The 20,422-nt window shown below is 49.1% G+C and overlaps 1 protein-coding gene and 2 long non-coding RNA genes across 10 annotated transcripts in view, besides 5 other annotated features; 1 reads left to right on the top strand and 2 right to left on the bottom strand.

Annotated features, from left to right (window-relative positions):
- OTX2-AS1 (OTX2 antisense RNA 1) overlaps nt 1-1,843 on the bottom strand; it is a 119,303-nt gene extending 117,460 nt beyond the window's left edge. Inside the window, exons 1-2 of one of the 2 annotated variants that reach the window (NR_146411.1) lie at nt 1,593-1,843; nt 380-537 (exon numbers count right to left, since the gene is read on the bottom strand). This is a non-coding gene — a long non-coding RNA (OTX2 antisense RNA 1). Of the gene's footprint in view, nt 1-379; nt 692-1,592 lie in introns of those variants that run through there. The other variant, NR_029385.2, reaches the window with a different exon arrangement.
- Nucleotides 1,098-1,990: an enhancer, noted in NCBI's record as "H3K4me1 hESC enhancer chr14:57278577-57279469 (GRCh37/hg19 assembly coordinates)". NCBI's record gives its function as "activates a minimal SCP1, AML or CMV promoter by ChIP-STARR-seq in naive H9 embryonic stem cells {active_cell/tissue: H9 hESC(naive)}" and the evidence as "EXISTENCE:reporter gene assay evidence [ECO:0000049][PMID:30033119]".
- Nucleotides 3,370-13,944, top strand: OTX2 (orthodenticle homeobox 2). Of its 7 annotated transcripts, none has more exons than NM_001270523.2 (5): nt 3,370-3,473; nt 3,627-3,690; nt 8,274-8,489; nt 9,510-9,661; nt 11,494-13,944. In NM_001270523.2, the coding sequence occupies exons 3-5, from the start codon at nt 8,393-8,395 to the stop codon at nt 12,112-12,114; spliced, it is 870 nt and encodes a 289-aa protein (NP_001257452.1). In that variant the 5' UTR covers nt 3,370-3,473; nt 3,627-3,690; nt 8,274-8,392; the 3' UTR covers nt 12,115-13,944. The 7 variants fall into 7 exon arrangements, 5 of the variants coding, with proteins under 5 accessions (NP_001257452.1, NP_068374.1, NP_001257453.1 ...); NM_021728.4 differs by having other exon boundaries at nt 9,486-9,661; NR_073034.2 differs by lacking the exon at nt 9,510-9,661.
- Nucleotides 7,529-8,367: an enhancer, noted in NCBI's record as "OCT4-NANOG-H3K27ac-H3K4me1 hESC enhancer chr14:57272200-57273038 (GRCh37/hg19 assembly coordinates)". NCBI's record gives its function as "activates a minimal SCP1, AML or CMV promoter by ChIP-STARR-seq in naive and primed H9 embryonic stem cells {active_cell/tissue: H9 hESC(naive and primed)}" and the evidence as "EXISTENCE:reporter gene assay evidence [ECO:0000049][PMID:30033119]".
- Nucleotides 9,207-10,045: an enhancer, noted in NCBI's record as "H3K4me1 hESC enhancer chr14:57270522-57271360 (GRCh37/hg19 assembly coordinates)". NCBI's record gives its function as "activates a minimal SCP1, AML or CMV promoter by ChIP-STARR-seq in primed H9 embryonic stem cells {active_cell/tissue: H9 hESC(primed)}" and the evidence as "EXISTENCE:reporter gene assay evidence [ECO:0000049][PMID:30033119]".
- Nucleotides 16,211-16,805: an enhancer, noted in NCBI's record as "H3K4me1 hESC enhancer chr14:57263762-57264356 (GRCh37/hg19 assembly coordinates)". NCBI's record gives its function as "activates a minimal SCP1, AML or CMV promoter by ChIP-STARR-seq in naive H9 embryonic stem cells {active_cell/tissue: H9 hESC(naive)}" and the evidence as "EXISTENCE:reporter gene assay evidence [ECO:0000049][PMID:30033119]".
- On the bottom strand, nt 18,369-19,132 carry LOC124903322 (uncharacterized). Its single transcript, XR_007064190.1, has 2 exons — nt 18,931-19,132; nt 18,369-18,818 (listed from the first exon to the last, which is right to left on the bottom strand). It is a non-coding gene; the product is annotated as an uncharacterized LOC124903322 (long non-coding RNA).
- Nucleotides 19,035-19,959: an enhancer, noted in NCBI's record as "H3K27ac-H3K4me1 hESC enhancer chr14:57260608-57261532 (GRCh37/hg19 assembly coordinates)". NCBI's record gives its function as "activates a minimal SCP1, AML or CMV promoter by ChIP-STARR-seq in naive H9 embryonic stem cells {active_cell/tissue: H9 hESC(naive)}" and the evidence as "EXISTENCE:reporter gene assay evidence [ECO:0000049][PMID:30033119]".

Raw genomic sequence — 20,422 nt, 5'->3', positions numbered from 1 at the left:
GGCTTTCTTAATTTAGCTTCTGAATGCTTATATCTCATATGCGTAGCAAAATAATTGTACAAGTGGCAATTAAAAACCATCCACTTTTTAATGAAAATTATTTAAAAACACAAAGCATGCTACCATAAGTCAGATTCATAGAAAAAAAATGTTAACGACACAGGACACAGAAAAAAAGTTAAACACAGAAATACAATGAACAGATACTAGGTAAATTGGAAGTTCAAGAACTTACTGAAAATCAAGAGTTAGACTTTTCATCCAAAGAGTCTTTTTCTCCCACCAAGCATCTAAGGTTTTCAGTAAAAGAGCCCAGCCCCCTTCCCCCAAAGCCAGTGGCTTTTGTCCTGACCTAGAATAGGGTTTGTGGGGACTGTACCTGAGCCGGGCAGTCTGCAATTTCCAAATTGACAAGAAGAGACTGGAAGATAAAGAGCATGTTCTTACAGGTGAAGAGCAATTTTGCAACTTTTCAAGGCGACACCCAGGAGAAAGCTTGCCTGCTACCAACTGCTGCAGAGTCTGGGCAGAATTCCTCTAGAAAGAAAAAGAAAGTCTTTCACCCCCCCCCCCCTTCCTTGTCTGCCTCTCTCTGTCTCTAGTTCTCTTTCTCCTCTCTGTCTCTCTCTCTCAGATCCAATCTTTTAAGAGCTTCAGCACATTGCTAAGCTAAAGGGAAATTCTCTTTGATAAAGCGGTGTTTCCAGCTTCTGGGTTTTAAAACCTAAATCTATATTCAAATCTGGCTGAAGGTGTGTTCTGGGATTTATGAAAGCCTCTTAAAGGGGTAAATTTACCAAACCGTGACAAAATCATCACAATCTTACTTTAGACATCTGAAGTGGATGAGAATTTTAAAGAGACCCTTGTTTATTTAACACTGTCCATTTCCAACTCGTAGTTTATTGGCCCTGTATTTCTGCGAAGTTATTAGACTAGAGGGCAAAGGAGAAGCGGGAGCTGTCTGCTGCCGGCCGCTGGAAGGGCAAAACCCTCTCACGCCCCACCATGCATAAATCTGCCCCTGTCGAATAGAACAGGGGGATTTTTAGGGAGATTCAGCTGCCCCCGCCATCTGGGAGGACATCGCAAACCTCTACATCGGGCTTGAAAGGTTACCCTGGACACTGGACCCTACGGCAGATGGATCTCCCAGTCCAAAATGGTTTACTTGGTTTAGCTCACAAGCGCATGTTCTGATCATTCTCCATCCCACCCCATGCCCACTGTCCCCAAGGCCTTCCTCCGGCCTTCCCCTCTGCCAGATTCACAACGTCCATTTTTCTTTTTCGGCTCTTTTATGCTTTAAACATCATTGTGATCAAACTGGGGGAAACGTTGTCTTTTCTAGGGGTAGGAAGGAGACTCTGCTTCAGGTGATCGAGGTGGATTTGCCTTTCCTTCATCGAAAGCATCATGACTCTGACCAAGCGCACCCAACCAGTGCCTCCGACAGCCAGCGCCACGAGGGTCATAACGCCCGGGGCATTTGTTACCCCCTCCTCACCACCATCCCCATTAAAGGCTTCGGGGGCGGCCGCCAGGTGTTTCAGTACAGTGGGGGTGGGGTGAGAAAAAAGGTCGGTACTCACCCTCCCCCCCGCCCGGGCCCCTAGAAACTCTTGACTCCTGGGAACGCGACAGCCAGCGGGTCTCCGGACTGGAGCTGCTGCAGAGGGCCGGGAAGGAGCTGGGCGGGCTCCGGGCCCCTCGGGGGCTCGAGGGGCCGCCAGGGCCCAAAGCTCTAGGGACACCTGTGACAGGGGCCGCTGCCGCGGAGTCCCCAGCCCCAGGCCGAGCCCGAGCCGGAGCCCGGCTGCCGAGAGCTTGCTGCCTCGTGCGCACTCCCGTAATTCGTTAATTGCTGTAAATCCCAAGGACGGCCACATTTGAGTACACATACAGTATAAGAACCGACAACAAAGCGACGAATTAATTACCAACTTCATTAACATAGGTCCCCAAATTAAAGGCAGCGAGCTGTTTCTTTGGGCCCACTGGCCGTGGTGGTGATGGTAGTTGGTGGTGGGTGGGTGGCGGGGGGTGGGGTATTTAGGAAGAGATTTTATTTTTCTTTTCCTGCACTGGGTGTTGTGAAGCAAGAGCTGTCTTCTGCTCCCACCCCCACCCAGCTTATTCACACACACTCACCAGTTCCACTAGCCACCCCCCACCCCACACTCCGCCCAGTCTGTTTTTGCTTTTCTAGGGACTCGGATCCGTTTGAAACCTGTCCGGTCCCTGCTTTCTATGCCAGGCAAAAAAGTTGGGCTGGGGGTCGCACTCTCCGGCTCGGGCCCCCAGGTCCCATCACTTCCCAGCCTCTGGGCTCGCAGCCCGGGGCTCGGGCGGCGCCAGCCCAGGTAGCTCCAGGCCTCGCAGTGTCGGTCGTTTGGTGGCGTTTGTTCTAACACAGAAACTGTTTCCAACGGGGGCCTCCCTCGTTCGCTCTCTTCCACGATATCTTGTCGACCTCACACTCGCATCCTCGAGGCCCGATGTGGTCCCAGCTACTTCTCCTAAATGGGCCCTGAGATTAGATTCCGGGGTTCGTGTTCCCTGCAGTCTGTCGTGGGCTTCTCAATTCCAAAAAACCCCAGGAACCTACCAGAAGCCGGGGTCTCTCACTCGGGGATCATTTATTTATATGTGTAAGGATATTTATAAGGGCGTAGGGAATAGAGAAGACACTGAGTTTTAGAAAATAGTTTGTTCTTGGACTTGTGTATCTTTCTCTCTCTGTTTTCCCTACATGCCCACATCGCACTCCCAGGCCTCCCTCCTTTACCCTTTCTGGCCGTCAGCGTGCTCTGGCCCTGTCTGAGACGGCATAGTGGTGTTTTTGAGTTTCAGTCTGACTTGCTTTCTGCCTGTCATCCACACACTTATTGCTGGGGTTGAATGTGATAACCCAGTCACTCCCTAACCCGCCATTCTCCAGCATTTACTTAAATATTTTTATCTTCCATCTTACATTGCATGGGTTTCCTTTCTTCCCTTCCCTAAAAACAACAACAACAAAAAAAAAAAAAAAAAAAAGAGAGGAAAGGAAATTTCGGAGTAAAGGAAGCAGGGGAAAAGAGGGTAAGAGAAGAACTCCCTGTCCATCATTTTAATTATACAATTAGTTCACATGCTCCGGCCCATAATGTATATTTTAAGCAAAGCCCAGTGTCTTTAAAGAACATTCTGGTAATGTCGGAGGCCTGGATTTGTTGCCTGCTCGTCCCCCCGTGCAGCAGCGGCCTGTTTTCCTCCCCCTGTTGTGTGTTTTTATTATTTTCCCTCTGGCTTAGATGTGTCAATCATTCTCTCCCTGCCATTGGTTGGAGAGTTTGCGTCAAAAAGTTGCCAGAGAGGCGCTTTCTCAGCAAATCTCCCTGAGAGCGGGACCGGCCTCAGCTCCAACACAGCCTCCACTGTGATTAAAAATAAAAATTGCTAGAGCAGCCCTCACTCGCCACATCTACTTTGTATGTATTGCAGAGGGGCCCACGCGTGTTTAGAACTCTAGCCGCCTTCCTCATTTTCGTTCTTTAAAAAAAATTTTTTTTGGTTGTGTTTGACTTTTCATGGAAGGGTGAAGACTGCAAGGTTTCTAACTCAATACTCTTGATTTCTTTTAGGATAGCTGGCTATTTGGAATTTAAAGGATATTTGACTTTTTCTAACCTCCCATGAGGCTGTAAGGTAAGTGTCCGTCTGTCTTGTCTATATCCATATCTACGTGTCCCCGTGTCTGTCGGCCATCACCCCAGTACCTCCAATAGACCGACCGATGCCCCTCTGCGAACGTGGAGTTCTGTAGGCGGATGTATTTTTTCTCTTACAAATTTTGAGGTGTAATAACGATCGTTGCAAAAAGAAAAATGTGATCTAGAGATGAGAGCGGTAGTGGGAGAGAGGCAGAGAGCGTGCTCCTGGGGGTCGTCGCTTCTGCAAAACGTCGTCGAAACGCTGCGAATGTAATCTGGGGTGTTTTGGAAGGTTTTGTTTGTGGTTTTGTTTTTATGTCAACGCCGTTCTGGGCTTCTCCCGCGATCTTTGCGTTTTGGCCCCCAGATTTGGTTGGGGTCGTTTGGATGGATCCCAGGGACCTTTTTAGAGTCCGAGACAAAAAGATGCAGATGTAACTAGATGGATGGATTGAAACAACAATAATAAAAAGCCAGGCGCCTCCTTGGGCCCGCGCGCCGGAAGCTCGGTTCGCTTGCGGGTCGGCCTGGGCCGGGGGCCGCCGCTCGAGCCCCTGTCGGCCCCTGTTGAACGTGAGCGGAAACCGGAGCGGATAACCGAGGAGGCTGGGAGCGCTGGCTTCTCGTCCGCCCCGGCGCTCACTGCTCGCTCTCTTTGGCCTCCTCTCCCTCAGCCTAGCACAGCTCGGTTGTCTGTTTCTCCCAAAAGCTTCCAGATCTCCTTTTTGTTTTTAAATATCCACCACCCCCCAAAATCCAAACCACCCTGGGTTGTAATTACGCAGCCTCCCAACCCCCGGTTGTCGTGGTCCCCGACCCTGGTCACCAGGCCGAGCGAACGTGAAGAGTGTTTTTTCAACATGACTTTGCCGGGTCGCGGCCCGCCCCACGTAGCCCTCCGCGCGCACCTGGGGCGGGCAGAAGTGGCAGCTAGTGGCCCCTGCTCCGCCCAAGGCCGCGGCCGGGCCAGGGACCGGAATCCTCCCGCTGGGACCGCGGCCCCTCAGCTGTTCTCTGGCGGGGAGAGGCAGGGCTCGCCCGCGCGCTCGCGCACCCCCTTCCCAGGCTCCAGGACAATGAGGTGTCGTGGCTCGGGGCCGGGCGGGGGCCGAGGGGTTCGCCGAGGCCCAGCCTGTGCCATGGATCGGCCCAGTAAGAACCATCCGAAGGTCCCTGCCAGCGCCGGGCGCGGGCGACGGGTCGCTCTGCAAACTCCCAAGAAGTCTTCGCGTTGTTGCGTTCAAGTGACTCTTGAAATCGATGCCCGATTTCGGGACATATTTTTGGAAACCCAAGTCCCCTGTCAGGATTCCACCGAGTTGGCTTTTGCTTCCTTCACAGATAGAACTGGTGCGCGGGGAGCGAAGGCCGAGCGGCGCCGACCCTGCGGTGGTGGATTGCTTGGGGAGGGGACGGGGAAGTCGCTCCTAGAAATTCTCCCCTCCATCCTAGAGCTTCGGGGTCAGGATTTCTCCTGCTCAGCTCGGGACTTTTTACAGGCACCAAAAGTTATTAGCAACAGAGGGGAGTAGGAGAGGGAACTCCTCCCCCCAGAGTAAGGTAGACACCCAGACCTCAGCGCTAACACCGGGGCTTTCTCCCAACGATAATTAATAGTCAAGGCCAACCCTTTTGGCACGTTTCTTCCTCCCTCCCTCGCGGGTGGCAGAGTTATTTGATTCCCCGAGGCCAGAAACTTTCACTCGAGTTCGCCGGAGAGAGGCCAGCGCCGGCCGTTTTCCGCGGTGCCCACACGTCTCCTTTTTCTTTCTTTCCTCCTCTTCGTCGTCTTCCCAGCCGCAGGCCAGTCGCCAGTCCGCGTAGTTTTGTTTCCTTTCCATCATGCAGAAAATTAATCAGCCCGGACGAGAAGCAGAGAGGAGCATGGCGGCCTGTAATTAAGGGACGTGTGCCCCTCGGATTATCTCGTTAGTTTATCAAGAAAACATTTATTATAATTAATTCTCGGACGAGGTAATTATTGTTGAGCGAGGACACAGCAACTGGTAGATGGGCTTCTTGGAAGAAAAAAAAAACAAGGCGTGGGGGAGGGAGAAGCGACAGATTGCACGAATTGACCGTTAGATATAAGGCTGCGCGGGGGGCGCGGGCAGTGGAGCGGGACCTCGGGCGCCAGGCCTGCGGGGCTGCGGGGCTGCGGGGCTGCGGGGCTGCGGGGCTGCCGGGCAGGAACGCGGGACCCAGGCACTCGCGCCCGGAGGTGCGGTCGCCGACCGGCTGCCGGAACTCGCCGCGCGACCGCGGTCAGCTTCTAGGTATGAGTTCTCCAGAGGCCACCTCGTGAGCAGTCATAGTGAGGCGTGGATTTTTCAAAAGTTATTTCTTTTCCCCGTTCTGGACCCTGCTTCGAGAGGAAAAGAGCTTTGAAAGTTAGATTGAAGGGCCCATGCCTTCTATGCAGAGTGCATACCTAGGCCGGTTGTGGAGAGAATCTCTTAGTTTTGGGTTTTGGTTTTCCTCTTTTCCTTTTAAAGGTGGATCCAGGAGCAAAAGTGAAAATAGTCTATTTTGAGAATTTTAGCCATTTTGCAATGGTAAGGGCAAAGGAGCCCCTGGAAGGATCTCGGCCCTGGTGCTTTCTGTGTGTTACTGGCTTTTTATGTTGGAATGTGCTACTTTATTGTATGATGTGTCAGGCATTTCTAATTGGGTGAGAGCTCTACATGTAAGAACATTTCCATATTTCTCAAGGGTACATCTGATATGATTTTACGATTCTCTATAGCACTGTAGTTCAGAATTTTGCAAGGTAGTACGATTAAACAAAAAATCTCCAATCTCCAGTTTAGAGGCTGTTTAAACACATATACAACTGTATTTTAAAGCTGTCGCATATGTGTTTAAACAGCCTCTAAGCTGGAGATTTTTGTTTATTTTCGCAGCCTCCAAAGAACAGCATTTTGAAAAGAAAAGACAATACAAAAACATAAAGTCTGTATTGTAGGGGCAACTAAATTAGTTGTACTGAGGATAATACAAACTCCTCCAAGAAAGACATTTATAAAATTATATTAAGTTAGATCTTAGGGTAGAAAAGCATGACTTTTGTGCTCTGAATTTAAATCAGAAAGAAGTTGCAGTTACTAAGTTTCATTTATGGACTTTTGTGCCTTGCTGTCTTAAGCAACGTAAATATGAAAACCCGGAGTCCTTTAAAGTCAGTGAGACCTTTATCTTGTATCCGCCATTTTGAAGCAATCTCTCATGGTGTCAAAGTTTCAAAGTAGAGATCCTTGCATATAAGTGCCACATTTTAGGAAAATAAAGGCCAGACTTGCAAACTGCCAGTCTATATTAACATCTACTTTGAATCTCTTTGCTGGGGTGGAGGCGGGGAGCTCAGCTGAAGAAAGTAAATAACTTTTCTTTTTCTTCCTTTCTTTTCCCCCTTGAGCTCTTTTTCTTATAGGATTGTAGGAAACTTGAAAGGTAGGGAGAAATTCTACTAGTTTCACAACTTTGGGTGTTTGTGTATCTACTTTCTTCAAAACTAAAATGTGCAAAAGGCAGTTAGAGTTAACAGGAAACTCTGCTGCAGCTGCCGAGGACCCAAATGTCTGAAAATTTGCCTCCCGCAGGATCTGCAGCCTCCACACATCAAAATCAACATGGAAGCAGCTTGCACTACAAATGTGGGGTCCCGTCATTATCTGATTGGTGGGATTCTAACTTTACTTCACAATTTCTGGCAAGCCCTGTGCCAATCTTGAAGACTTTTTTGGAATATGCTTAAATATTTGATGGGTGTCTATTAAAAGTTAAATACTTGTTTGTTTAGCTTTCGTTCCTTAGACACATATAATCAAGATTCTCCAAAACCCTAATAAATCTGTTACTTACCTCGAAATCTAATTACCCAGACTACTAATTAGGTGAAAATGATTACCGGAAATGACTTCAAATGTGGAATAATAGTGGTTGAGCGGTTTTTCCAAGTTTGTGGTTTAGTGAGTTGGTATTTTAGATGTTAAACGCACTGACATTTTAGGTTCGCAGCAGTTGAAAGTGGTAAAAAGCTAAGATAATTAAAATCTCTGCCATGGAAAGGCAACAGTCTGGGGAGAGGTAGATTTCTTGAATTGTTTCTTTGTTTCTCACCAATGGGCTTTGTTATCAGCATTATTTATTTAGCCAAAGAGTTCTTTGTCTCTGCAAATGGCCCCAATCAAGTTTTGTTTGAGACAATTAGCTAGTGCCAGCCAATGAGTCCTATGCAAATGTAGGGATAGGAATGCAATGTGTGCATTTGAAGGCACGGGTTTTTGTTCTTGGGGAAGGCAGATTGTAATTGCTTTCTTCGGGTACTTTTTTTTTTTTTTTAAGTTTAGGGTGGGGGTGGGGAAGACAGGTTTATCTGGTCTCCTTCCATCCCCTCTAGTTCCAGAGCAGCTGGGGGTGGGGGTGGGGATGGGGGTGGGGGGAGTGTCTGCAAGTCCTTTAAAAGCCTCTGCCTCGCCTAGTCCGTGCTCTTTTTAAGTTAGTGCTGGAACGTGGAAGAGCTGCTGCCTCCGAAGCAGTAAACCAGCCCCTCTGTTTGTTTGTTTGCTTTGCCCTTAGTTCCACTGCTCCAAACCCACCCACCAAGGACTCTGAACCTGTCCACCCCGGGCGCATCAAGATCTTCCAGCTGGGTACCCCCGATTTGGGCCGACTTTGCACCTCCAAACAACCTTAGCATGATGTCTTATCTTAAGCAACCGCCTTACGCAGTCAATGGGCTGAGTCTGACCACTTCGGGTATGGACTTGCTGCACCCCTCCGTGGGCTACCCGGGTAAGTGAGCCCTGCTGCACTCCCGCACCCCTCTTCCCCATGCCCACCCTCCGGGGATGCAACACCCTGTTCCCATGGAACACGGGGGTTGGCAGTCACACTGTCCCCACCCAGCTTCAGGCTTGGTCTCCTCTAGGTTTGCCTTCTGAGGAAGCAGTCCCAGGGCATTTACTGACCAAGCAGAGAACAGGGGTTGGGAAAAGTGAGTAGGTGGGTCTGCAACCGTTACAATCACATCACTTTATTCTTAATTCGAGTAAATAAGGATTGGCATCAGAGTGGGATGAGGAAGGTTACTGTCCTTGTCATTTGGGCAAAAGACCCCTACCCATATCTCAATGACCAATTCCTCAGAAGTGTCCTCTTGGAGAAGCTGAGTTTTCCCTCCGTAAGTCCTTAGCACTCTCGGGCTTCGCAGTTGTTCCCTCCATGCCCAGGCCTTCCCCTATGACCTCCAGAGCCTGCTTTAATCCCAAGAGGCGTGACTTCCTCCAAATGCGGGTGCTTTCCTTTCCAATCAGATATGTTTAAAAATCCTCCCAGGAGTATGAACTATGTCCCCATTTTAAAGATGGAGGAACAAAGGCCCATGGTGTGCTAAAAACCATGGGAACAGGATCCAGATTTCCCCCATCAATTCGAGCTGCCAGTCTGTCCTCGGAGATCCTTTGACTTCTTGGAATAGCCTTTTTGTGTTGTGGTTTGGGGGTTGATCTTGGAGAACTTTTTTGTGTGTCTTTTAAAAAATGTTTCATTTGTTAACTTTCCAAGTGATGCTCTGATTGGAGCAATCTCAACACCAAGAAGAGTAGGGAAAGAAGCAGCGTGTGTCCTGGGTCCCCGGGGAGCAAGGCTGGGGAGACGGTGGGGAGAGCATTGGTAGGCTCCCGGCTGAAGGGCTGTGAGGAACGGGGGACTGCTGCGGGGTGGAGGGCAGGGGCGTCGGAGAACCCGCGGAAACGCCTATGACTGAGAAACTGCTCCCCCACCCTAAAGGGCCCTGGGCTTCTTGTCCCGCAGCCACCCCCCGGAAACAGCGCCGGGAGAGGACGACGTTCACTCGGGCGCAGCTAGATGTGCTGGAAGCACTGTTTGCCAAGACCCGGTACCCAGACATCTTCATGCGAGAGGAGGTGGCACTGAAAATCAACTTGCCCGAGTCGAGGGTGCAGGTAGGGCAGATGCAGGCAGAACCATCCTTCCTGATCATGCCACCCTTCCCGAGTATGGGACTGTGGAGAGCCCCAGGTCTTTCAGAGGACTGAAGGAAGGCTTGAAATTCTCCTTCACTCACTAAGGGGCCAGGAAACTATTCTCCTTCTGCCCTTTTTTGCCTGCCCGTCACCACTTAATCCCGTAAGCAAGGGTCTTCAAGGCCCGGGTTGCTGGTGGAGAGAGACCCATCCTTGAGCAGGTTTCAAGAGTAGTCACGTGGTGTTGTAACCCTTCCCTTCCTCTGTATAGAAATCCTCTCCTATTCTCATGGACTTGTACGTGTGAAAGCAGCTTAGCTCTTGGACAGTCCAAGTATTTTTACAGATGAAAAAATAGAGTAAATGACTTGCTCAAGGTCATAACTAAGTTTGGTGGCAGAGTCAGGGTATAGACGCAGCTGGTGCTTTTACCAAATAAATCAACACAAAAAGAATGTATTTTCCTTGACTTCTTAGGGATTGAAGAGAATTTTCTAGTTCTGAGCCATTTAACAGATAAAATATCTACATAATGTCTCTAGTGACACCCCTCTTGTTTTAGTTCCCCTAAACTTGACCTTAAACTGGAGAGGGAAGGTCAACTCCAGCTTGCCTTGTGAGTGAGCCCTGTACAGAATTCTCTGCAAAGTGTTTAGCACATAAACCACATACACACCTGGGCCTCTCCTTCGGCTAGAATATGTTTATGAAAGCGACAGACATCAGTGTCAGCTGCAAATTGGGAAAGGGGCTTTTTCAAAGTAGGTTAGAGGAAGTTTTAGCACTTGCAAGGCTTGAACCAAAGTCCTCACTAGGAGAAAACAAATGGCTCCAAATGGTTGGTGGTCTTGAGCTTGGCCTTGGTGGCCTCACTTTTACCACAGTTACGGCACCCATACAGAGAGCTCATTCAAAAGTTCAGCTAAGGATTTGTCCTCCAGAAAATGCCAGTAGTTCCTCTTCTAAGCCCCCTCGTACACCAATCATAGCTCCTTCATTGCAGAACATGAACAGGGCTGGTAAAGAGAATTGTCAAGATTGCAGCAGGGGGTTGAAGTGGTAAGTCAGTAAACACAGCACAGGAGACTGAGTCTATGTGCTGAGTGGCACTACTCTAACAACACAGACTCGAGTCCCAGAGACTAGCAGGTCTGTGCTCCAGCTCAAAGCAGAGTGCATGTAAGTCACTCCTTTTACCACAAAGAAGCTTTTAGCAAATAGTGGCTTTCAGACCTCTTTCTTCAACAAGATCATGTCTTCCCCTTGGAGCTTTGTTCTGTGAGTCTTTCTAAGAGAGACAGAAGGGTGATGGAACCAACCAACCTCTATATTAGCAGTTGCTTCCTGGAAGATGAACTGTAAATGAATTTAGGCTGTTCCTGTTAGCCTGTAACAACAGAATTGCTTTCTCTCACTTCTCATGTATTTCCCTCCAAAAGACAGAGATACATTCTATTCCTCTGTGAGAGTGTTCCAAAATATAGCTGGGTCTATGTGTATGTGTGTGTTAGAGGCGAAATAAGATAGGAAAGTGATGTGGAGAGTTTTTAGCTATATGATTTGGGGGATTATCTTAAATGTTATTCTGGGCAAGAAATAAGACAGTGTCAAGTGTTTTTAGACAGAGCCTCCCCAACTTTCTTACAAGTCCAGGAGTTTATATGAGAGTACCACATAATAGGTCTTCAGTGGCAGGGGAAATTGTGTGTTTAGCTGATCTGCCCATGTAGGATAGATTTATAATACGGGAGCCATTCTTGTCCTTAAGGAACTATCAAAACCGAGTTAAAGAATTTTCTTTCCCTTCCAAGGTATGGTTTAAGAATCGAAGAGCTAAGTGCCGCCAACAACAGCAACAACAGCAGAATGGAGGTCAAAACAAAGTGAGACCTGCCAAAAAGAAGACATCTCCAGCTCGGGAAGTGAGTTCAGAGAGTGGAACAAGTGGCCAATTCACTCCCCCCTCTAGCACCTCAGTCCCGACCATTGCCAGCAGCAGTGCTCCTGTGTCTATCTGGAGCCCAGCTTCCATCTCCCCACTGTCAGATCCCTTGTCCACCTCCTCTTCCTGCATGCAGAGGTCCTATCCCATGACCTATACTCAGGCTTCAGGTTATAGTCAAGGATATGCTGGCTCAACTTCCTACTTTGGGGGCATGGACTGTGGATCATATTTGACCCCTATGCATCACCAGCTTCCCGGACCAGGGGCCACACTCAGTCCCATGGGTACCAATGCAGTCACCAGCCATCTCAATCAGTCCCCAGCTTCTCTTTCCACCCAGGGATATGGAGCTTCAAGCTTGGGTTTTAACTCAACCACTGATTGCTTGGATTATAAGGACCAAACTGCCTCCTGGAAGCTTAACTTCAATGCTGACTGCTTGGATTATAAAGATCAGACATCCTCGTGGAAATTCCAGGTTTTGTGAAGACCTGTAGAACCTCTTTTTGTGGGTGATTTTTAAATATACTGGGCTGGACATTCCAGTTTTAGCCAGGCATTGGTTAAAAGAGTTAGATGGGATGATGCTCAGACTCATCTGATCAAAGTTCCGAGAGGCATAGAAGGAAAAACGAAGGGCCTTAGAGGGGCCTACAAACCAGCAACATGAAATGGACAAACCAATCTGCTTAAGATCCTGTCATAGTTTTAGATCATTGGTTATCCTGATTTGCAAAGTGATCAAAAGCATTCTAGCCATGTGCAACCAAACACCACCAAAAATAAAATCAAACAAAACTAAGTTGTGAAGGAAGGGAGGGAAGGTCATAGCCTTCTTAAGCAGAGGTGTTCCATTGTTTTAGCCAATCCTTGGTTGAATCTTAGGAATGAACAGTGTCTCAAGCTCATTCACGTTTCATGACCAACTGGTAGTTGGCACTGAAAAAACTTTTCAGGGCTGTGTGAATTGTGTGACTGATTGTCCTAGATGCACTACTTTATTTAAAAAATAATGTTCATAAGGAGTCAATATGTAGTTTAAGAGACAATCAGTGTGTGTCTTATAAATGGTACATCTGTGGTTTTTAATCTGTGCTAGACTTCAAAACTGTGATCTCCTGTTATTGTATGCAACCTTGAACTCCACCTCTGCAGGGGTTCTTCTGTGATTAAATAGGTTATAATTATAAGCAAAATTCAGAGCAACTGAGTACTGATCTAAAAAGATTACCTTTGGCTGGAGGTGAGCTGCACTGAAACTTTACGACAAAATGTCTCTGGACAAAGAGAGTCAGAGAAGAGAAGCAAAAGGACACTAATTCATCTGTAATTTACTGTTGGTAAGCCTAGCAGTAAAGAGACATTGGTCAATTGCTCTGACCCTGATGAATTATTAAACTGAGATCATTGTCGTTTATGCTTGCAGATGTTAAATGGAAAAGTTATATATGCATAAACCTTTTCTTCCTGGATTTGGCAGATATGTATAATTATATTAAAATGGTTCTAGCACAACATTGGGTCCAGTTTAATTTTACACCGCTATTTATGAATAAGAAGCCTACATTCAGCCTTTCCTCCCCAAAACACGTTTTTCTTAGGACAGAGAGTAAATTAGCAAACTTATTTTTACTTTTTTTTTTTGCTAATCTATGCATAAAATAGATATGAATGACAGTGGTAGGTAGACTTTTTGTGACTTTCATCAGGATTGCTCTGAAATTGAGTTTGGAGAGCCTAACAACAAGATCTTGTTTTCCTTGCTTTTCCCTCCCTACTTCAAACCTGAACGATTTCTTAGGCACTTTATTAGAATGTTTTAAAATATATCAAGTTTTTAAGAGGGAGGAGGAGAATTGGAGTATCTCTGAAAACATGAGAATGACAAGAATTTCTTGTTACTATTCTCTTATTTGATTAAGGGGATTTTTTTTTTTTAACTTCCAAAAACTGAGGTAAACATGAGAGGGAGTGTAATCAGAATCTGAAAGTAATTCAGGCAGAAATGATTCCTGAACAAAAGAGTTTCAGAAAAGTTTTAAAACCTATAATTTCAGTAGTTGAACATAAGGCACCCTGGTCAGTTTGTGTGTATGTGTTTAAGAAAGTGCCGAGGGGGAAAAAATGGGTCCCTTTTCAGTTGTACCTGCATTTTGTAAACCAGTCACCAGAAAAGACAAATGGGCCAATGATCATGGTGCTCCTCAGGTAAAAGCAATATTTAATTTCATTTTAAGCTGCTTAAGCTCTTACAGCTGACCAAAATTAAGTGACTCTTGATTGTAACGTTTTAAATGAAGGTTAGCAGTTGCAACCATTTTGTTTTCTGGCTATTTCATTTTTCCGGTCCCTGGCTGCGCATGCTCTCTTGAACTCTGTAATTTTTCCTAATAAGTAAATTGGTTCGCTGGTAAAGGAAATGCAATAGTTTGCAACCAAAATTTGAGGCCAAATTTGATGGCAAGAGTTTTCAGCACCTATTGATAACCTTCAACATACTGTAGTTTACACGAAGTTAAATTGGGGCCTGAGGTTTACCCAGATTCAGTGTCTTAATCTCCCAGCTTTTCTTCTGCAACAGTAATGCAGAATCAAAATAACCATTTTCTACCATTGCCTTCAGTTTTCAGGATGTCCCGCAAGGGGCAGGGAAAGATTACCCCTTCTTTAAAAACAATAATGACGATAAACATTGGGCTACTCAGCAAATAACGCAGTTGGCAGTTTCTCTCCTGAAACTTTAAAAAAAAGGTCAGAAAGAAGAGGCACTGAGCACCCTCTGAAACTAATTTTTCCATCACCTCTGCACAACTTCTCTTAACTAAGACCACGCAGTTAAATCCCTTTGAATCAAAGGCGAAGTAGAAATGAATTCCTCTGACCGAAGGCAACGGAGGGAGGGAAGGAGGCGGGGAGCGAACACTGGCTTAAAGACATCCAGAGAGTTCCGATCTCCACTCCTAGTCAAGACCGGTTTTAATGAAGTTAATAAGCCCAATAATGGTGATACTTGGTACTGAAATGACGCCGTCCTCCAAAGAGGTCAGGGAGCTACTTCAGCTGCGTATCGGCAATTAACAAGAAGTGAGCCGGCAGTATAAGCTTCGGTTTGGAGGTCAGGTCCTGATGAGGGTGGGGGTAGTTTGCTTTACAAAGATCTGTTGCCCCAAATCTTTATCTTTCCCACAGGGATTCTTGGCCCTTTGTATTTCACCTTGGGAGTGTTTCTTTCCTTCCTAGATAAGAAGAGAAATTCAATCAACTCAATTAAGTTCCGGCTTTGGAAACCTCCAAGTTTTAGATAATGGTGGGTTTCCTCAACCCCTCTCCCACATGGTGCTGCTAATCTCACCTTTCCTGTGGGTGACCCCCCAGGCCCGTACTGCCGCCGCCACAGGCGCAAGACGCTGGGAGGCTGGGGCGGAACTGCCAGAAGGAACGTGGTGCCGGGCGGCCCGCTCTCCGCCGCGCCCTAGGCGCTCTGGCTAAAGAGCTGGCTTTTCTAACTCCCCAGTGCCCAGTCGGAGTTACCTGGGAACAGCACTCACATCTCTGCCCCGAGGGCCCCCAGCTGGGGCAGACGCCGGACTCCCCAGGTTGGCGCTGCCCAATGGGCCCCACTCACAGCCTGGCGGGCCAGGCAGGGGCGAGACTGAGGCTCTTGCCTTGCCGGGTTTTCCCCTTTCTCTCTGGGCTGGCTCCATCCCTGGCCCGCACCTAGGACCTCTCTTGAGCCTCAGCCCGCGCCCCCCGGGCGTAGTTCTCAGGCCTCGGGGGCGCCGGTCCCAGGGCGCTGTGGGCCGCGGCAAGGCCGAGGCCCGGTGGCGAGGCCTGTACGCCCGCGGGAGTGGGCCGCCAGCCAGAGCCGAGAGAGGGCCCCGCCCGAGCCCTGCAGTCAGGCCTCCAGGTCGGCCGCGGGCCGGGGCGCCGGTCGCTGGGAAACCTCGCGGCCTGGCGGAGTGCAGGGGTCGGGTCGGCCTCGGGGATTGGAGGGTGGGGTGGCCCGGCCGGGAGGCGAGCGCCCTGCGCCCGAAGGAGCTAAAACCGAGACTGACAGACGGGACGGCGAGCGGGGTCCACTGGCCGGGGAGAAGGGGCCGGGGCGGCGAAAGCAAGCCCAGCAGGGCCCGCGGCTGCTGGTTTTCCAGGTCTCCCGGTAGGATGAGCCGCTGACGGCTTAGGAGGGGGCCGCTTCTCCTGGCCTCGAAGGGCGAGGCCGCCACAGCGGGGGCTCCCGCCACGGCTGAGGCCTCCCGCGTCCCGAGCAGACGGGGCCCAGCTGGGCCTGCCTCGGGCCCCCGGGGATCCTCCCAGGAAATCCAGGTCTTCGGCCACTGGATTTGGGGGAGTCTGGCCCTCCGTTGGGGTCTCCCCCGGCACTGAGCTGAGGCTTTCGGGGGAAGCCCGAGCAATTCCCAGTTTGCCTTGGCTCATCCCCTTTTCCCCAGTCCTCTAGATCTCTTTTTTTTAAAACTGAGTGCCTTCTCTTTCTTTTCGGACCTGTCAGCGGCCCTGAAGGCCAGAGGCAGGCTCTGGAATGGGGAAGCGGTCCCTTCGGCGTCCCGGGCAGGGCCAACTTGCCAGGCAACCCATTCCAGTTACCTGCAAGGCAGGGGACGCAGTCAAGTCCCCGCGTCCACTTAACCGGAAGCGGCCAGCCCTGGCGCGCACACCACATGTTCGAACCCGCATCTCACACCCAGGGAGAACTTCGCTGTTATTATACGGACAAAGCTGTAACCCAAAACCAGGCGTGCCAGTGCTAGGTGATGGTTTAGTGCATATAGAAACGTGTTTTTAATCATGCAAAAGAGGAACACAAAAGAGTCGGGCAGGAGACCAGCGCATCCCACGCAAATGGGAGCAGACGCGGTGGAAAACAACCAGAATGAGAAGATGCAGGATCAGAGTCAGCCATGACTTCCGCCTGGGTTTTTGCCTCCTTCGAGACTTTTAAGATGAACAGCAGTCTCTCTCCTTTTCGTGCCACGAAAGGGTCCAAGCCCCCATCAGGCATCTGCATGCCCAGGTTTGTGACCAGGTGCCCTGAGCACCTCTGATTTTCTCTTCTAAACCGCCCGAGCCTGTCAGCGCAGGGTGCTCTGATAAAACCTGATTCCCCTAGTCGCCCCGTTTCCGCCCTTGGGTTGGTGTGACAGAAAAGACTGGGAGCCCCTGGGACTTTCCCCTGGAATGGGGAGAGCAAAACCCCAAACAAAACCCATCCCCATGTTTTTTGGTATTAGGCTCTGAAACTGCACAGATTATAGGATTTGTCTTGGACAGAATTAACATTACATGTGAAACTGTAGTGCTCTGGTGTATTGAGACACGTTGTATAGGATTGCTTGGACCATCTCTTTCAAACTGCCTGTTAATAGTATCATGAGACCTTCAATGATAATGTGTTGGGGGGGGGGTTGTTTTTTACCTGATGGAAACAAAATCTAGGCACTATTTGGAAAAGGTAGTTTTTCTGATGGCAGCAGATGGAAGGAAACGGAACCAAATGAGAAACTAGAGGAAGTTTCTGTATACTGAAGTGGCTGTAAAGGAGGGAGCAGACGTGCGTTTGAAAGGCCTTCTACTAAGCAGCAGTCCTTACAACCAAGGGAGGCCCCCCAATGCTAAAGAGAAACAGCCAGACTTCCTCTCTTGCAAGCAGTGTGTTTTATGTTTAAAAACCAACCTGCTGTCAACTGCAAACAAACAGTAAGCAAATTCAAATAAAGGATCCCTACCAAGTCCAACCCATTTGGTCAAAGATAACTGCAGGTGCCAGGGAAGCCAGGCTATCACTAGGGGGAGGGTCGCTTCAAATTTTGTTTTTCTCCTAGAGGGAAAGTCAAACAGCATGAGGTCTATGACTCACTTTTATTCCTTAATCTCCCCACCCCTTTTCTTTTAATTCTTAGTGGAAACACGGTATTTTGAAAGAAAAAACAACAGCAACAACAAAGAAAACAAAAAAGAATCCCACTGAAAATATAATGGTAAGTGGGCAAAGTTTGGATTGACTTCTGTTTCAGCACCACAAGGAAAAAAAGGTATTCAAGAATCAGAATCCTCTGCTACCTGCTACCTCTACTGCTCCTGCCTCAGTTTGCCTACTGCAGGTGTGCAAAGGGGGCCTTTTGATTAAGAATTTCTTAGTCTACTTGACATCACTAGGTGACATTTCCAGCTGAGGGCTTCTTTAAAAATAAGATGCCAGTTTCTAGTAGCCATACAATTGTTGATTGCTTTTTTTGTCCCCCTGGTCTCCCCATTAAAGGACCTTCAAATGCTGCCTTTAGGAGCCACAGGCCTGCTCCCCCTCTATCTCAGTTTCCCCAGGTAAAAGCTGGAAAGTACCCTTTAGAGACAGGTCCTTGGTGGGGTGAGGGCTTAGGTCTTGCCCCCAATCTCCCAGATGAAATCTCCTGAGGCCTTAGGCTGCACAGAAATCAGAAAATCACTCATCACAGCCTTGAGTTGTTAAAATCTGTTCCTAGAACCAATAGTCACATTTTAGGATCATGGACCATTAATAAAAATCTCCTTAACATTCAAATGGCTCTAAAATGCGTTGATAGCGGATTACTGGGGCCTAATGGACGTCGCGTGTGATAACATGGTCTCTGAGTAGCAGAGGTTCTGGAGTGGGTGTCTGACCACAGCTACCTGATTATCAGCTTACAGCCAACCCACTTTTTAGCTGCGATACTCTTAAGAGGCGTTCTGCCCGGCAGAGCCAGAGACTTCTGTGTTCTTCATTTAATCGTTGTAACAAACGCATAGTGTTCTGCAAAGGAGACAGAAAAACCTGCCTGTAGGCGTGGGGTGACCTCCGGACGTAAGGAGGGCGGGTCGCTGGCCAATGACCCTCTCCTCCCTGGCTTTAATGGAGCGATGCCTGAAAGGCAGTGGCTCCGGCAGATCGAGACCTTCGCCCGGGACGCCCGGGTTGTCCTAAGGTTGAGGCCTCCTTCGCGGGGCCAGCGCTCCTCCCTGCCTCGGCCACCTCGGAGTGCAATCCCTGAAGTGGCTGCTCAGCTCTCCCCTTTAGGACCCGACACGTCCGGGAGAGCTCGCGGGGCTCTCCTGCCAGCGGTGGGGAAGACTTCGGGCTCCGGTGCGCGCAATCGACAGCGCTAAGGACCCGCTGGCAGTAGCCGGGGCACCAGGGACAGAGCTAGTCCCGGGGTTTCTCTGGAAAATTTGGCAAAGAGACAGTGCTCCCATTCTCCACCCCCACGTCTCACCCAACAAACTAAGCCAATGTCCCTGAAAGCTAGGCCTTCTCTGGCTGTAAAGTACACACCTGCGTCACCCCGGGGGCCTGCCCTCCCCGCGCCCGGTGCCCCCAGCAAGTCACTTGGAGAGTCCAGAGAGACTACCGGAGGAGGCAGGGAGTTGCTCAAGAGGCTCAGAGGCAGCTTTCTGGCCAGCTGCGGGGAACATCCGGCTCACGACCCCCCAACCCAGGCCTCCGACGGCCGCCGCCCCCCGGAAGCGGGTCTGAAACTCGCAGCCGCACGTGGCGGGGCCGCCGGGTCCCCTCCAGGGCGGCGGCCGGTGGTTAGCGCTGGCCCGGTGGATGCGAAGGCTCGAGCCCCAGAACATCGTGCCTCCGCGCTCAGAGGCGGGGGTGGCTTGGGGAGTACGAGGGCAGCCCTCTTCCTACTCCTCTGTGGTCTTTGCGGGGGTCAGAGTGTGGTGATTGTGGGTGTAACAACACCGGGAGGTGACGTGGGCGTTCTTCCCGCCGCGCTCCGGGACCGCGGCCCCAGGCAGGGTGGGCTCCGAAGCCCAGGCTTCCTCTTGACGTGGGAACTGAGACAGGCTTGGCCTCAGGGCTCCCGACCTGGAGTACCTGCCTCCCGGAACCGAGTGTGCAGTTGCCCGCAAGACTTGGCCGGCGCTGTCCCCGGGCCCTCGCGGAAGTGTGCCCACCCGGGCACCTAGGGCCTAGGAGGCCGGCTGGAGACGGCTTCCGGTTCCAACTCCAGGCCTCACCAGCTGGCGCGTGGAGCGGTCGGATACCCAGTGCCAGGGCCCGTTTAGACGGCTGGTTTAACGAATTGGCCTAAAATGAATTTTGAGTTAGAGCTTTTGAACACTACGGTTGCACACATAAAGCTCACTTCACACCCCACCCCACCCCCGCAAGTCCTTCATGGCCACTAATCCGAGTTAGTTTCATGACCTTTGAGTTACATTTGGTTCGAGATTTCCAACCAACCTTATTGCTATTGCTTAATGCTAGGGAATTTTTTTGAGAGGCAGATATATGGGCAGAAATAAAAAAGAAACATATATAGATATAAAATATATGTAACAAATAGGTATTTAAATTGAAGTCTAAGATGAAATTGGGCAATTTTGGATAGAGGAATCACATTATTTTTACATTTAAATTGATGCAAGTCTAATTGAAATGCATCTTTCAACTGCTCTTCTTGCTGATTAAATTGGTTCTATTTTTAATTCTAGTCTAATTTGACCACTTGAAGCTTTAGAAAGCTAACAAGCTCTCAGTCTATTTGTTAATTACCTTTAACCAAAAACATAGCTTTCATTTAGTCTTAAAACAGTCCGTTCACTCCTGCCCTCTGATTTTAAGGTGGGGAGAAGTGGAAAACTTGGGAGAAACATGCATTCACCATCTTCATTTTCACCGATGATTTTAGCTGATTAAACCACTACGCTTGATTCCTGCCCATTTTGGGCAGGCACCTTGTTTTGTCTCCTTTTTTCCTTCATATGTATTGATAAGAATGTGGATTATGTACACATTTTTAACACAAGATCCT

The sequence above is a fragment of the Homo sapiens genome, chromosome 14 (assembly GCF_000001405.40).
Source record: "Homo sapiens chromosome 14, GRCh38.p14 Primary Assembly".
In the NCBI taxonomy this organism is placed as follows: Eukaryota; Metazoa; Chordata; class Mammalia; order Primates; family Hominidae; genus Homo; species Homo sapiens.
This window is presented reverse-complemented; position numbering and strand designations above follow the sequence as displayed.

Excerpts from the sequence above, each read along its gene's own strand:
- OTX2 (NM_021728.4), top strand. The coding sequence starts at position 8,393 with ATGATGTCTTATCTTAAGCAACCGCCTTACGCAGTCAATGGGCTGAGT. Across the intron at positions 8,490-9,485 it reads CCCCTCCGTGGGCTACCCGG|GGCCCTGGGCTTCTTGTCCC; the intron begins GTAAGTGAGCCC and ends CCCACCCTAAAG. Across the intron at positions 9,662-11,493 it reads TGCCCGAGTCGAGGGTGCAG|GTATGGTTTAAGAATCGAAG; the intron begins GTAGGGCAGATG and ends TTCCCTTCCAAG.